Source organism: Homo sapiens, chromosome X (assembly GCF_000001405.40).
Source record: "Homo sapiens chromosome X, GRCh38.p14 Primary Assembly".
NCBI classification, from domain to species: Eukaryota; Metazoa; Chordata; class Mammalia; order Primates; family Hominidae; genus Homo; species Homo sapiens.
Window position 1 is genome coordinate 47,773,273 of NC_000023.11, and position 17,005 is coordinate 47,790,277.

Sequence of the window (17,005 nt, forward strand, 5' to 3'; positions counted from 1 at the left end):
GGGCTAGAAAGGAATATGCCCAAGTTTTTTTCTAATACTTGTATATTATTTCATTTTTACATTTAAATCTCTGATCCATATGGAGTTTGTTCTCGTGTATGGTGTGAGATGTGTATCCAATTTAATCTGTTTCTAAATGGCCATGTCTAGTGGGTTGCTGTCTCCCTAAAAGATGTGTCCCCAGAACCTGGGAAAAGGATCTTTGCAAATATAATGAACTTAAGGATCTTGAGATGAGATCATCCTGGCTTAAGCCAGTGGGCCCTAAATCCAATAACAAGTGTTCTTATAACAGACAGAAGAGGAAAAAGAAACAGAGAGGGTGATGTAAAGACAGAGGCAGAGATTGGAGTGCTGCGTCTACAAATCAAGGAATGGCAAAGATCACTGGAGCTACCAGAAGCTAGGAGAGGCATGTAATAGGAGAGAGGCATAGAATAGATTCTCCCCCAGAGCCTCTAAAAGGAATCAGCTCTGATGACATCTTGATTTTTTGCTTCTAGCCTCCAGAGCTGTGAGAAAATAAATTTCTGTTGTTTTAAGCCACCCAGTTTGTGGTAATTTGTTACTGCAATCCTAGGAAACAACATCATTTATGTAAAAGTTCATCTTTGCCTCTTATGATTTGAGATGCCATTTCAATCATATACAAAAATTTATTCTGTATTTGGATCTATTTCTGGACCTTTTACTCTATTTCACTGGCTTGTGTACTCATGTGACATTACCACATAGTTTTAATTATAGAGGCTTTATAGTATGTTTTAATACCTGGTGGGGTTAATCACCATCATTACATTTTTTGGGGGGTGGCTTATAGTTATTCCTTCATGTTTATTTTCCCTTATAAATCTTAGGCAATTTGGTTTCTGAGTTGATGCATTTAACTACTATGCTATGCTAACTTTCTAGGATATTTATTAGAAAAAAGTCAGGGAAAGGGGTGAGTGACCATTCATTGAGTTCTGGGAGATTGAATGATTGGTCCCAATTTTTCCCTCCTCCCTGTGTCCATACCCTTTCCCCCTTGGCTTTGTGCTTGCCCATGTGATTTGCTTTGCTTAATGGCATATGGGTAGAAGTAATATGTCATTTCTGAGGCTAGGCCTTACAAGGCTTTGCCTGTACTGGCTTGCCTTCTTGCCCCTTTGCACCACTATAAGAGGATACATAGGTAATTGCTGCCTCCCAGTCTCAGCTCCAGAATGGAAGACATGTAGAGCATAGTTGCCTCAGCTGCAGTGCCAACAGTGGGGCGCAACTTAGATTAGACAAACCTCAGTCAGTTCTCTAAATACTGGAGAATAAATTTGGCACTTACCCAACAGATAAATAATTGCAGGGAATGGAAAAATTCTACCATGTTGGAGTTTTCTGTCACTATTTAAAAAGTATTATTGAGTGAAAAAATCAAGTTGCAGAGAATTGAGCATAATATAATCTCACTTTTGTAAAACATCCAAAAAGAATGTATGTATGTAATATAGGAGAAGTGTATGTGTGTGCACGTGTGTGTATTACAAACATGAAAATAAGAGTGAAATGGTTCATACATGACGGTTTGCACTGGTGATCTGTAGGGAGGATTGCAGGTATTAGTGAAGGTAGAATAAAAGGATGAGGAAGTTGAGCAAATAAAAAGAAGATTAAAAGTACTACATATTAAAATCTAATAAGAATGATACTATTGTGGAATGCTATTCAGCCATAAAAGAATGAAATCCTGTCATTTGTAGCAACATGAATGGAAGTGGAGGTCTTAATGTTAAATGAAATAAGTCGGGCTGGGCACGGTGGCTCACGCCTGTAATCCCAGCACTTTGGGAGGCCGAGGTGGGTGGATTGCCTGAGGCCAGGAGTTCAAGATCAGCCTGACCAATGTGGTGAAATGCTGTCTCTACTAAAAATACAAAAATTAGCTGGGCGTGGTGGCATGGGCCTATAGTCCCAGCTACTTGGGAGGTTGAGGCAAGAGAATTGCTTGAACCTGAAAGGCAGAGGTTGCAGTGAGCCAACATTGTGCCACTGCACTCCAGCCTGAGTGACAGAGTGATACTCCATCTCAAAAAAAAAAAAAGAAAGAAATAAGCCAGGCACAGAAAGACAAATATCCCATGTTCTCACTCACGTGGTAGCTAAAAAAGTCGATCTCCTAGAGGTAAAGAGTAGAATTATAGATATCAGAGGCTGGGAAGGGTAAGGGGGATAAATAGAGGTTGGTTAATGGATACAAACATACAGTTAGATAGGAGTAAGTTCTAGTGTTCAATAGCGCAATAAAGTGACTACAGTTAATCATTTACTTTATATTTCAAAATATCAAGAAGAAAAGACTTGCAAGATTCCAAACACAAAGAGAAGATAAATGTTTGAGGTGATGGATATACCAATTACCCTGATTTGATCATTATGTGTTGTATGCGTGTATCAAAGTATCACATGTACTCCATAAATATATCCAATTATTATGTACTAGTAATAAGAAAGAATAATAGCATTGTGTTTAGGCATTCACATGAATGTCTACAGAAAGAAGAGAAAAAGTATTGTGAAATAAAAGCTAGTATGATAGGATTATATTTACACATTTACATAAAAACAGAACCTATATATATAAAGGAATCAAAATCATGGTTTTATTGTGGAATCTCTTGCTAGAAATACACACTAGGGAACATATTTGACAGGTACAATTATATCATATTACAAAAATATTTAAAACACATACTATACCTTCTGTTGTGCAGTGTATTATGAAACATATTCTCTTGAATTCAGGGTATGTCCATATCAGACATACTAGTTGGTTGTCCTACAACTTCGTTTGTTGACACTATAAAATACTTAAAATTTCACAGAAAACAGGAAAAGCATTTACATAATTTTCCATATTCCTTTTTTATAAGGAGTTTGGAATCAATTTATGTTATAGCGCTTTTTGTGGGAAGTCTTTTCCTAAAGGATTAAACTTGAACAATTTCTCCTCAGTTGGGTTCTATGAATTCTATGATACCATCTCCGGTCAGGTTCCCTTCTATACACAGAGGCTAAGAAAGGCATCTGGAAGCATATGATTTATATGTTCTTCATGGTGGAACCTGTAAGGGAATAAGAGAAGGATAGGGAAAGAGGAGTCATCACAAGGACGTGGTTTCATGTAGAGTCAAGCCTTGGCCCCATGCAGGGCAGAGGAGTGTGGAGAGGGGGAGGAGCCTCTGGATTGTAAATTTCACTGCAAAGTTGTTCTGCCTTGAGGGAGGAACTTGGGCTCTTGTATCCTTTTATAAATCACTCACTGGCTACTCCCTAGGAGGGTAGTATAACCATCTCCAGGCATGTTGGCACTACGGAAAACCAAAGGCAATGCTCTGGAAAAAGTTACAGGTATAAGCTGTTTGCTACAGCACTTGCAGCAGTTAGAAAATGGATGCCCTGGCCAGTCAAGGGGATCAGGGTGAGGCACCAACAGTGTATACTCCACATAGTGAGGACGTGCAAATATGGAAAGATGCTGCTCTGATGCATTCTTAGGGCTTCTCCTCTTAACTTGGCTCATGAATATATTCACATGGTTTTTCTGCTGCAGGCATTCTACAGCATACACTTAGATCCAACTTCTCTGAGAAGGCTTTCTCATATTCAAGAAACATGCAGATTTTCTTTTAGGTAGGAATACTTGGATGCATATTGAAAGCTAATCTCTGGGTGCAGCCTTTCCCACAGTCACTGCATTTATAAGGTTTAGCTGGAGAAAGAGTAATCTGGTGCTTATTCAAACTTGACTTGTTGGTGAAGGCCTTGTCACACTCGGTATATACATAGGGCTTTTCTCCTGTGTGAATTTGCTGCTGCTGCTGAAGCTAGTGGTGTGTGTGTGTGTGTGTGTGTGTGTGTGTGTGTGTGAAGGCTTTCCCACAGTCACTCTACTCATAAGGCTTCTCTCCAGTGTAAATTCTCTTTGATATGTAATCAAAACTGACTTGCATGTGAAGGCCTTCTCACACTCAGGACATACATATATGGGATGTATTAGTCCATTCTCGCGCTGCTATAAAGAAACACATGAGACTGGGTAATTTATAAAGAAAAGAGGTTTAATTGGCTCACAGTTCTGCAGTCTGTAGAGGAAGCATAATTCTGGCATCAACTCAGCTTCTAAAGAGGCCTCAGGAAACTTTCAATCATGATGGAAGGTGAAGGGGAAGCAGGCATGTCTTACATGGCCGGAGCAGGAGGAAGAAAGAACAAGTGGGGAGGAGCTACACACTTTTAAATAACCAGATCTCATGAGAACTCGCTCACTAGACAGTACCCAGCAGGGATGGTGCTAAACTATTCATGAGAACTCTGCCCCCAATGATCCAATCACCTCCTACCAGGCCCCTCCTCTAACAGTGGGGATTACAATTCAACATGATATGTGGGTGGGGACACAGATCCAAACCAGATCATGGGATTTTGCTCCAATATGAGTTTTCTGACGTGCAAGGAGATGTGGTTTTTTGAAGGCCTTCCCACATTTAGTGCATGCATAGGGTCTCTCTCCTGCATGACTTTGTTGATTCTCATGGAGCTGTGACTTGAAAGAATTCCCACAATCACTGCATTCATTGAGTTTTTCCCTAACATGAACTTTTTAATGTGTGATTAAGTTTGACTTATGGTTGAAGGCTTTTTCATGTTCAGGTACATACACTGGGTTTCTCTCCAGTGTGAAAATTCAGATGTATGTTGAGGTGAGACTTCTGAGTAAAGGTTTTCCCACAGTTGCCGCATTCATAAAGTTTCTCATCTTTGATGTGTAATCAAGACCAATTTGTAAGTAAAGGCCTTTCCACATTCAGTACAGACATAAGCTCTCTACAGTATGAGTCTTCTGGTGTGCAAGGAGATTGGATCTTTTGGAGAAGACCTTCACACATTTTGTGCCTGTATAGGGTTTTTCTCCTGTGTGGGTTTTCCCATGCTCATTCACTTGGGATTTGGAATGAAAGGCTTTCCCACAGTAACAGCATTCAAAAGGCTTCTCTCCACTATATATTCTCTGATGTGCAATCAAGTGTGTCTTTTGGATGAAGGCCTGCCCACATTCAGTGCATATATAGGGTTTCTCTTCGGTGTGAATTCTCTGTTGCAAACTGAATATTGACTACTGGGTGAAAGCGTTCTCATTTTCTCTGCATTCGTTGGGCTTTTCCCCAGAATGAAAAGTCTGATGTGTGAAGATGTGTGACTTCTGAGGGAAGACTTTTTCACATTCATTGCCTACATAGGCTATCCTCCCAGTGAGAAATTTTGGATGAAGAATGGACACATTCTTCATCCAAATTTGTCACTGAGGACTTTTCTACATTGATTAGGTTCACAAAATTTCTCACCTGTATGAGAATTAACATAGTATAAGAAGCTGTAAGTAAAATTTGACTATAATTAATAATCTCAAGGTTTTTCTTGCATTGCTTCTATTGGGACTTATAAGTTTTAATTATGTTTCAAATCCTTTCCAAATGAATCATATTTAAGGGATGGCTTCTGTGAACTAATTAGATATGGGCTCATGTGAATTGTTTTTCCAATGTACTTATATTCATAATCTTTTTCATTATTCAATATGTTACTGTTGATGAAAGCAAATGACTCAAAGGTCTATTTTGGTTTTCCTTACATCTCTATCTGTTCATCATCTTGCCACAGTTTTCATTAAAAATGGAAACAATGAATTGTCCCTCTTGAATTCACCTACTCTCTTATTGTGAAATAAAGCTTTTAACAGAAATTTACTATTAAAGAATTTCAATCCCACACTTCCCTCCTAAAAGGAGAAAAAGAAGGTGAAATTGAAACATAGAACAGTTAGCTTAGTATAGAGAAGCCGTATGCAACTTATCCAGACTGAACACAGAGAAATCACATGATGATGATGATAATGATGATTCTTATTATATGCTGTACACTTAAACAGCACTTACAACATGCCAGGTACTTTTCTAAGTAATATAAAAGTATTAATACATAATACATATATTTAAACTCATTTAACTTTCATAGCAACCCTCTGAGGTAGATATTATTATACATGCTTTCAGAAGAAACAGCTGAAGCTCAGAATGGGTAAATACTTTGCCCAAGATGACATGGGTCCTGTGTCAAGTAGACTGGATTTAAACCAAGCCAGCCTGTCTCCATTTACATAGGCTATCTAGTACCCAGTTAGTTCTTATAGCAGCTCAGTTTTACCCTAAGTAATAAATAAATCAACTTACCAAGAAGAGGAAATCACTAATATTTCAATTATTTTTACAGAAGATGAACTATAGCAGGTTTTCAATATTTATAAAATGCATAAATTGCACCAGCAGTCCCCAACCTTTTTGGCACCAGGGACTAGTTTTGTGGAAGACAATTTTTCCATGGACCAGGGAGGGGGGATGGTTTCGGGATGATTCCAGTGCATTAGATTCACTGTGCACTTTATTTCTATTCTATTATTATTACACTGTCATATATAATGAAATAATTATAAAATTCACCATAATGCAGTGGGAGCCCTGAGCTTGTTTTCCTGAAACTAGATGGTTCCATCTGGGGGTGATGGGAGACAGTGACAGATCATCAGGCATTAGATTCTCATAAGGAGTGCACAACCTAGATCCCTCGCATTCTCAGTTCACAATAGAGTTTGCACTCCTATGAGAATCTAATACCCCCACTGATCTGACAGGACGGGGAGCTCAGGTGGTAATGTGAGTGATAGGGAGCAGCTGTAAATACAAATGAAGCTTCGCTTTCCGGCCCCACTGCTCACCTCCTGTTGTGCCGCCTGGTTCCTCACAGGCCACGGACTATCTTCCACTGGTACAAGTCTGTGATCTGGAGGTTGGAGACCCCTGAATTACACCATTATTCTATTCTACCAAGTTTGAAGATACTGAGCATGATCTGATCATAAAATCCCATTTGTTTTCCTCTTGTAGCCCAGGCTAAAATACTGGCATCCAGCACCTTGTCCCCAAAACTCCACTATACTTTCACTCTTATGCTATACTCTTATATCCATAAATCTCCTTTCATTTATTCTTAAGCATGTCAATTCATAGGCACAGATGAGGAACTTTTTTGAACTTTGTACTTCATTTAGCATACACACACAAACACACATACATGCACACACACACACATATACACACACACACAAAAACACATGCACACAAACACAAACCTTTTACTGGAGCCAAAAATATTTAGTTACAGCTCCTACTCTTCAATGTAAAAAGTTCATGCCTGTGCTGAAAATGTTATCTTTAACACTCTTGAGCCCACCAACTTCATAGGCCACACATACAGTCATTGGTCTGAAAAAATAGATAGTATATGTGAGTTTGCATTCCATTAGTAAGTAATATTTACTCAAAACTCCAGTGTATTCCTAAATCCAATCATTATTCACATATTCTTCCCTCATTAAGCTTGCTTTTTCTGCCTTGTGACGATTCAAAATGTATATGTGATTCACAGATCAGTTAAGAGTCCTATGCTCTGAAAATTAATCTCATGATCTAACTACATTTCTAGGGAGACATGATTTTCTCTGAATTTTAAGAGCAGACACTATCTATGTTACCCACTTTTATGCTTTTTAAATAATAGTTGTCCACATTGCTGGAATGATTAATGAATAAAGCCTGAATTCTTTTTGTTTTCAAGCCATGTTTTCCCTTCCCACTAACAATCTGTTTCTTTGAACACTTTTCAACACACTGAAAACAATCCCACTGAAACAAAACACCCTGGTTTACCTATCTCCACAAAACCAAAAATTTTAGTACTTGAACTGGTTTATCCCTTTTTCCACTAAAAAATTAAGAATAAAATATTGCTATCACTTTTATTCTTAAGGATTTTAGAAAAGCTCTAGGAGGGAAATCATCATCTGTCATACAGTTTGAAAATATATAATTTGCATATAAATATTTCTGGAAGGAAACCATTAATATTGGTAGTCCCTGGGGAGGGATATGGGAGGAAAGAGATGGGAGTGAGATTTTTCACTGTGTACTCTTTCATATTTTTGAATTTCAAACCTTGTAAATATATTATCTCTCCCAAAAATTTAAATTAAAAACTAAAATAAAGGGGAAAAGTTATTAGTTTTGAAATTCTGAGGGATGGAAGGTGAAGAAAGGGAAAGATATTCAATGCTAGAGTAATTAAACACTAAATTTAATAGAACTACTGAAACCTGTATCTGGAGAGAAACAGCCTTAAATAATCAACAGCCAAGATGCAGAGAGGAATTTCATATGTAGGAAACATTAAGGAAAATGAGAAAAATGGAATAGAACATGAGTTATAGAATATATATAATGTTCAACTAGAAATTTGTGGACTGTTGTCACTGAGAAGAGTTTAATGATCATTTGCTACATAATAGGGAGTAACTTCCATTTCATTTCATAAAGTGAGCATAAAATAGATGTCATGTTTTAGATAATAAAATCTGTCAGTAGTACTTAAAATAAACATATTAAAAAAAAAAAAAACAAGGGGCTGGGGAGCCAAGATGGCTGAATAGGAACAGCTCCGGTCTACAGCTCCCAGCGTGAGCGACACAGAAGACAGGTGATTTCTGCATTTCCGTCTGAGGTACCGGGTTCATCTCACTAGGGAGTGCCAGACAGTGGGCACAGGACAGTGGGTGCAGCACACCATGCATGAGCCGAAGCAGGGCGAGGCATTGCCTCACTCGGGAAGCGCAAGGGGTCAGGGAGTTCCCTTTCCTAGTCAAAGAAAGAGGTGACAGATGGCACCTGGAAAATCGGGTCACTCCCACCCTAATACTGTGCTTTTCCGACGGGCTTAAAAAATGGCACACCAGGAGATTATATCCCGCACATGGCTCGGAGGGTCCTAGGCCCACAGAGTCTCGCTGATTGCTAGCACAGCAGTCTGAGATCAAACTGCAAGGCGGCAGCGAGGCTGGGGGAGGGATGCCCGCCATTGCCCAGGCTTGCTTAGGTAAACAAAGCAGCCGGGAAGCTCGAACTGGGTGGAGCCCACCACAGCTCAAGGAGGCCTGCCTGCCTCTGTAGGCTCCACCTCTGGGGGCAGGGCACAGACAAACAAAAAGACAGCAGTAACCTCTGCAGACTTAAATGTCCCTGTCTGACAGCTTTGAAGAGAGCAGTGGTTCTTCCAGCATGCAGCTAGAGATCTGAGAACGGGCAGACTGCCTCCTCAAGTGGGTCCCTGATCCCTGATCCCTGACCCCCGAGCAGCCTAACTGGGAGGCACCCCCCAGTAGGGGCAGACTGACACCTCACACGGCCCAGTACTCCTCTGAGTCAAAACTTCCAGAGGAACGATCAGACAGCAGCATTCACGGTTCATGAAAATCTGCTGTTCTGCAGACACCACTGCTGGTACCCAGGCAAACAGGGTCTGGAGTGGACCTCTAGCAAACTCCAACAGACCTGCAGCTGAGGGTCCTGTCTGTTAGAAGGAAAACTAACAAACAGAAAGGACATCCACACCAAAAACCCATCTGTACATCACCATCATCAAAGACCAAAAGTAGATAAAACCACAAAGATGGGGAAAAAACAGAGCAGAAAAACTGGAAACTCTAAAAAGCAGAGTGCCTCTCCTCCTCCAAAGGAACGCAGTTCCTCACCAGCAACGGAACAAAGCTGGACGGAGAATGACTTTGACGAGTTGAGAGAAGAAGGCTTCAGATAATCAAACTACTCCGAGCTACAGGAGGAAATTCAAACCAAAGGCAAAGAAGTTGAAAACTTTGAAAAAAATCTAGACGAATGTATAACTAGAATAACCAATACAGAGAAGTGCTTAAAGGAGCTGATGGAGCTGAAAACCAAGGCTCGAGAACTACGTGAAGAATGCAGAAGCCTCAGGAGCCGATGCGATCAACTGGAAGAAAGGGTATCAGTGATGGAAGATGAAATGAATGAAATGAAGTGAGAAGGGAAGTTTAGAGAAAAAAGAATAAAAAGAAATGAACAAAGCCTCCAAGAAATATGGGACTATGTGAAAAGGCCAAATCTATGTCTGATTGGTGTACCTGAAAGTGACAGGGAGAATGGAACCAAGTTGGAAAACACTCTGCGGGATATTATCCAGGAGAACTTCCCCAATCTAGCAAGGCAGGTCAATGTTCAGATTCAGGAAATACAGAGAACACCACAAAGATACTCCTCGAGAAGAGCAACTCCAAGACACATAATTGTCAGATTCACCAAAGTTGAAATGAAGGAAAAAATGTTAAGGGCAGCCAGAGAGAAAGGTCGAGTTACCCACAAAGGGAAGCCCATCAGACAAACAGCAGATCTCTCAGCAGAAACTCTACAAGCCAGAAGACAGTGGGGGCCAATATTCAACATTCTTTTTTTTTATTATTATACTTTAAGTTTTAGGGTACATGTGCACATTGTGCAGGTTAGTTACATATGTATACATGTGCCATGCTGGTGCGCTGCACCCACTAACTCATCATCTAGCCTTAGGTATATCTCCCAATGCTATCCCTCCCCACTCCCCCCACCCCACCACAGTCCCCAGAGTGTGATATTCCCCTTCATGTGTCCATGTGATCTCATTGTTCAATTCCCACCTATGAGTGAGAATATGCGGTGTTTGGTTTTTTGTTCTTGCGATAGTTTACTGAGAATGATGATTTCCAACTTCATCCATGTCCCTACAAAGGACATGAACTCATCATTTTTTATCGCTGCATAGTATTCCATGGTGTTTATGTGCCACATTTTCTTAATCCAATCTATCATTGTTGGACATTTGGGTTGGTTCCAAGTCTTTGCTATTGTGAATAATGCTGCAATAAACATACGTGTGCATGTGTCTTTATAGCAGCATGATTTATAGTCATTTGGGTATATACCCAGTAATGGGATGGCTGGGTCAAATGGTATTTCTAGTTCTAGATCCCTGAGGAATCGCCACACTGACTTCCACAATGGTTGAACTAGTTTACAGTCCCACCAACAGTGTAAAAGTGTTCCTATTTCTCCACATCCTCTCCAGCACCTGTTGTTTCCTGACTTTTTAATGATTGCCATTCTAACTGGTGTGAGATGATATCTCATAGTGGTTTTGATTTGCATTTCTCTGATGGCCAGTGATGATGAGCATTTTTTCATGTGTTTTTTGGCTGCATAAATGTCTTCTTTTGAGAAGTGTCTGTTCATATCCTTCGCCCACTTTTTGATGGGGTTGTTTGTTTTTTTCTTGTAAATTTGTTTGAGTTCATTGTAGATTCTGGATATTAGCCCTTTGTCAGATGAGTAGGTTGCGAAAATTTTCTCCCATGTTGTAGGTTGCCTGTTCACTCTGATGGTAGTTTCTTTTGCTGTGCAGAAGCTCTTTAGTTTAATTAGATCCCATTTGTCAATTTTGGCTTTTGTTGCCATTGCTTTTGGTGTTTTGGACATGAAGTCCTTGCCCATGCCTATGTCCTGAATGGTAATGCCTAGGTTTTCTTCTAGGGTTTTTATGGTTTTAGGTCTAATGTTTAAATCTTTAATCCATCTTGAATTGATTTTTGTATAAGGTGTAAGGAAGGGATCCAGTTTCAGCTTTCTACATATGGCTAGCCAGTTTTCCCAGCACCATTTATTAAATAGGGAATCCTTTCCCCATTGCTTGTTTTTCTCAGGTTTGTCAAAGATCAGATAGTTGTAGGTATGCGGCGTTATTTCTGAGGGATCTGTTCTGTTCCATTGATCTATATCTCTGTTTTGGTACCAGTACCATGCTGTTTTGGTTACTGTAGCTTTGCAGTATAGTTTGAAGTCAGGTAGTGTGATGCCTCCAGCACACTTCTTTTGGCTTAGGATTGACTTGGCGATGCGGGCTCTTTTTTGCTTCCATATGAACTTTAAAGTAGTTTTTTCCAATTCTGTGAATAAAGTCATTGGTAGCTTGATGGAGATGGCATTGAATCTGTAAATTACCTTGGGCAGTATGGCCATTTTCACGATATTGATTCTTCCTACCCATGAGCATGGAATGTTCTTCCATTTGTTTGTATCCTCTTTTATTTCCTTGAGCAGTGGTTTGTAGTTCTCCTTGAAGAGGTCCTTCACATCCCTTGTAAGTAGGATTCCTAGGTATTTTATTCTCTTTGAAGCAATTGTGAATGGGAGTTCACTCATGATTTGGCTCTCTGTTTGTCTGTTGTTGGTGTATAAGAATGCTTGTGATTTTTGTACATTGATTTTGTATCCTGAGACTTTGCTGAAGGTGCTTATTAGCTTAAGGAGATTTTGGGCTGAGACAATGGGGTTTTCTAGATAAACAATCATGTCGTCTGCAAACAGGGACAATGTGACTTCCTCTCCTAATTGAATACCCTTTATTTCCTTCTCCTGCCTGATTGCCCTGGCCAGAACTTCCAACACTATGTTGAATAGGAGCAGTGAGAGAGGGCATCCCTGTCTTGTGCCAGTTTTCAAAGGGAATGCTTCCAGTTTTTGCCCATTCAGTATGATATTGGCTGTGGGTTTGTCATAGATAGCTCTTATTATTTTGAAATACGTCCCATCAATACCTAATTTATTGAGAGTTTTTAGCATGAAGGGTTGTTGAATTTTGTCAAAGGCCTTTTCTGCATCTATTGAGATAATCATGTGGTTTTTGTCTTTGGCTCTGTTTATATGCTGGATTACATTTATTGATTTGCGTATATTGAACCAGCTTTCCATCCCAGGGATGAAGCCCACTTGATCATGGTGGATAAGCTTTTTGATGTGCTGCTGGATTCGGTTTGCCAGTATTTTATTGAGGATTTTTGCATCAATGTTCGTCAAGGATATTGGTCTAAAATTCTCTTTTTTGGTTGTGTCTCTGCCCGGCTTTGGTATCAGAATGATGCTGGCCTCATAAAATGAGTTAGGGAGGATTCCCTCTTTTTCTATTGATTGGAATAGTTTCAGAAGGAATGGTACCAGTTCCTCCTTGTACCTCTGGTAGAATTCGGCTGTTAATCCATCTGGTCCTGGATTCTTTTTGGTTGGTAAACTATTGATAATTGCCACAATTTCAGCTCCTGTTATTGGTCTATTCAGAGATTCAACTTCTTCCTGGTTTAGTCTTGGGAGAGTGTATGTGTCGAGGAATTTATCCATTTCTTCTAGATTTTCTAGTTTATTTGCGTAGAGGTGTTTGTAGTATTCTCTGATGGTAGTTTGTATTTCTGTGGGATCAGTGGTGATATCCCCTTTATCATTTTTTATTGTGTCTATTTGATTCTTCTCTCTTTTTTTCTTTATTAGTCTTGCTAGCGGTCTATCAATTTTGTTGATCCTTTCAAAAAACCAGCTCCTGGATTCATTAATTTTTTGAAGGGTTTTTTGTGTCTCTATTTCCTTCAGTTCTGCTCTGATTTTAGTTATTTCTTGCCTTCTGCTAGCTTTTGAATGTGTTTGCTCTTGCTTTTCTAGTTCTTTTAATTGTGATGTTAGGGTGTCAATTTTGGATCTTTCCTGCTTTCTCTTGTGGGCATTTAGTGCTATAAATTTCCCTCTACACACTGCTTTGAATGTGTCCCAGAGATTCTGGTATGTTGTGTCTTTGTTCTCGTTGGTTTCAAAGAACATCCTTATTTCTGCCTTCATTTCGTTATGTACCCAGTAGTCATTCAGGAGCAGGTTGTTCAGTTTCCATGTAGTTGAGCGGTTTTGAGTGAGTTTCTTAATCCTGAGTTCTAGTTTGATTGCACTGTGGTCTGAGAGACAGTTTGTTATAATTTCTGATCTTTTACATTTGCTGAGGAGTGCTTTACTTCCAACTATGTGGTCAATTTTGGAATAGGTGTGGTGTGGTGCTGAAAAACATGTATATTCTGTTGATTTGGGGTGGAGAGTTCTGTAGATGTCTATTAGGTCCGCTTGGTGCAGAGCTGAGTTCAATTCCTGGGTATCCTTGTGGACTTTCTGTCTTGTTGATCTGTCTAATGTTGACAGTGGGGTGTTAAAGTCTCCCATTATTATTGTGTGGGAGTCTAAGTCTCTTTGTAGGTCACTCAGGACTTGCTTTATGAATCTGGGTGCTCCTGTATTGGGTGCATATATATTTAGGATAGTTAGCTCTTCTTGTTGAATTGATCCCTTTACCATTATGTAATGGCCTTCTTTGTCTCTTTTGATCTTTGTTGGTTTAAAGTGTGTTTTATCAGAGACTAGGATTGCAACCCCTGCCTTTTTTTGTTTTCCATTTGCTTGGTAGATCTTCCTCCATCCTTTTATTTTGAGCCTATGTGTGTCTCTGCATGTGAGATGGGTTTCCTGAATACAGCACACTGGTGGGTCTTGACTCTTTATCCAACTTGCCAGTCTGTGTCTTTTAATTGGAGAATTTAGTCCATTTACATTTAAAGTTAATATTGTTATGTGTGAATTTGATCCTGTCATTATGATGTTACCTGGTGATTTTGCTCGTTAGTTGATGCAGTATCTTCCTAGTCTCGATGGTCTTTACAATTTGGCATGATTTTGCCGCGGCTGGTACCGGTTGTTCCTTTCCATGTTTAGTGCTTCCTTCAGGAGCTCTTTTAGGGCAGGCCTGGTGGTGACAAAATCTCTCAGCATTTGCTTGTCTGTAAAGTATTTTATTTCTCCTTCACTTATGAAGCTTAGTTTGGCTGGATATGAAATTCTGGGTTGAAAATTCTTTTCTTTAAGAATGTTGAATATTGGCCCCCACTCTCTTCTGGCTTGTAGGGTTTCTGCCGAGAGATCCGCTTTTAGTCTGATGGGCTTCCCTTTGAGGGTAACCCGACCTTTCTCTCTGGCTGCCCTTAACATTTTTTCCTTCATTTCAACTTTGGTGAATGTGACAATTATGTGTCTTGGAGTTGCTCTTCTCGAGGAGTATCTTTGTGGTGTTCTCTGTATTTCCTGAATCTGAACATTGGCCTGCCTTGCTAGATTGGGGAAGTTCTCCTGGATAATATCCTGCAGAGTGTTTTCCAACTTGGTTCCATTCTCCGCATCACTTTCAGGTACACCAATCAGATGTAGATTTGGTCTTTTCACATAGTCCCATATTTCTTGGAGGCTTTGCTCATTTCTTTTTATTCTTTTTTCTCTAAACTTCCCTTCTTGCTTCATTTCATTCATTTCGTCTTCCATTGCTGATACCCTTTCTTCCAGTTGATCGCATTGGCTCCTGAGGCTTCTGCATTCTTCACGTAGTTCTCGAGCCTTGGTTTTCAGCTCCATCAGCTCCTTTAAGCACTTCTCTGTATTGGTTATTCTAGTTATACATTCTTCTAAATTTTTTTCAAAGTTTTCAACTTCTTTGCGTTTGGTTTGAATGTCCTCCCGTAGCTCAGAGTAATTTGATCGTCTGAAGCCTTCTTCTCTCAGCTCATCAAAGTCATTCTCCATCCAGCTTTGTTCCGTTGCTGGTGAGGAACTGCGTTCCTTTGGAGGAGGAGAGGCACCCTGCGTTTTAGAGTTTCCAGTTTTTCTGTTCTGTTTTTTCCCCATCTTTGTGGTTTTATCTACTTTTGGTCTTTGATGATGGTGATGTACAGATGGGTTTTCGGTGTGGATGTCCTTTCTGTTTGTTAGTTTTCCTTCTAACAGACAGCACCCTCAGCTGCAGGTCTGTTGGAATACCCTGCCATGTGAGGTGTCAGTGTGCCCCTGCTGGGGGGTGCCTCCCAGTTAGGCTGCTCGGGGGTCAGGGATCAGGGACCCACTTGAGGAGGCAGTCTGCCCGTTCTCAGATCTCCAGCTGCATGCTGGGAGAACCACTGCTCTCTTCAAAGCTGTCAGACAGGGACATTTAAGTCTGCAGAGGTTACTGCTGTCTTTTTGTTTGTCTGTGCCCTGCCCCCAGAGGTGGAGCCTACAGAGGCAGGCAGGCCTCCTTGAGCTGTGGTGGGCTCCACCCAGTTCGAGCTTCCCAGCTGCTTTGTTTACCTAAGCAAGCCTGGGCAATGGCGGGCGCCCCTCCCCCAGCCTCGCTGCCGCCTTGCAGTTTGATCTCAGACTGCTGTGCTAGCAATCAGCGAGATTCCATGGGCGTAGGACCCTCCAAGCCAGGTGTGGGATATAGTCTCGTGGTGCGCCGTTTTTTAAGCCGGTCTGAAAAGTGCAATATTCGGGTGGGAGTGACCCGATTTTCCAGGTGCGTCCGTCACCCCTTTCTTTGACTCAGAAAGGGAACTCCCTGACCCCTTGCGCTTCCCAGGTGAGGCAATGCCTCACCCTGCTTTGGCTCGCGCACGGTGCGCGCACCCACTGGCCTGCGCCCACTGTCTGGCACTCCCTAGTGAGATGAACCCGGTACCTCAGATGGAAATGCAGAAATCACCCGTCTTCTGCGTCGCTCACGCTGGGAGCTGTAGACCAGAGCTTTTCCTATTCGGCCATCTTGGCTCCTCCCAACATTCTTAAAGAAAAGAATTTTCAACCCAGAATTTCATATCCAGCCAAACTAAGCTTCATAAGTGAAGGAGAAATAAAATACCTTACAGACAAGCAAATGCTGAGAGATTTTGTCACCACCAGGCCTGCCCTAAAAGAGCTCCTGAAGGAAGCACTAAACATGGAAAGGAACAACTGGTACCAGCTGCTGCAAAACCATGCCAAATTGTAAAGACCATTGAGGCTAGGAAGAAACTGCATCAACTAACGAGCAAAATAACCAGGTAACATCATAATGACAGGATCAAATTCACACATAAGAATATTAACTTAAAATGTAAATGGACTAAATGCTCCAATTAAAAGACACAGACTGGCAAATTGGATAAAGAGTCAAGACCCATCAGTGTGCTGTATTCAGGAAACCCATCTCACATGCAGAGACACACATAGGCTCAAAATAAAAGGATGGAGGAAGATCTACCAAGCAAATGGAAAACAAAAAAAGGCAGGGGTTGCAATCCTAGTCTCTGATAAAACACACTTTAAACCAACAAAGATCAAAAGAGACAAAGAAGGCCATTACATAATGGTAAAGG

At 40.6% G+C, this 17,005-nt stretch overlaps 1 pseudogene, besides 1 other annotated feature; it reads right to left on the reverse strand.

Annotated features, from left to right (window-relative positions):
- Positions 3,600-5,385, reverse strand: LOC100419784 (zinc finger protein 484 pseudogene; annotated as a pseudogene).
- Positions 15,565-16,127: an enhancer, noted in NCBI's record as "OCT4-NANOG-H3K27ac-H3K4me1 hESC enhancer chrX:47648236-47648798 (GRCh37/hg19 assembly coordinates)". NCBI's record gives its function as "activates a minimal SCP1, AML or CMV promoter by ChIP-STARR-seq in primed H9 embryonic stem cells {active_cell/tissue: H9 hESC(primed)}" and the evidence as "EXISTENCE:reporter gene assay evidence [ECO:0000049][PMID:30033119]".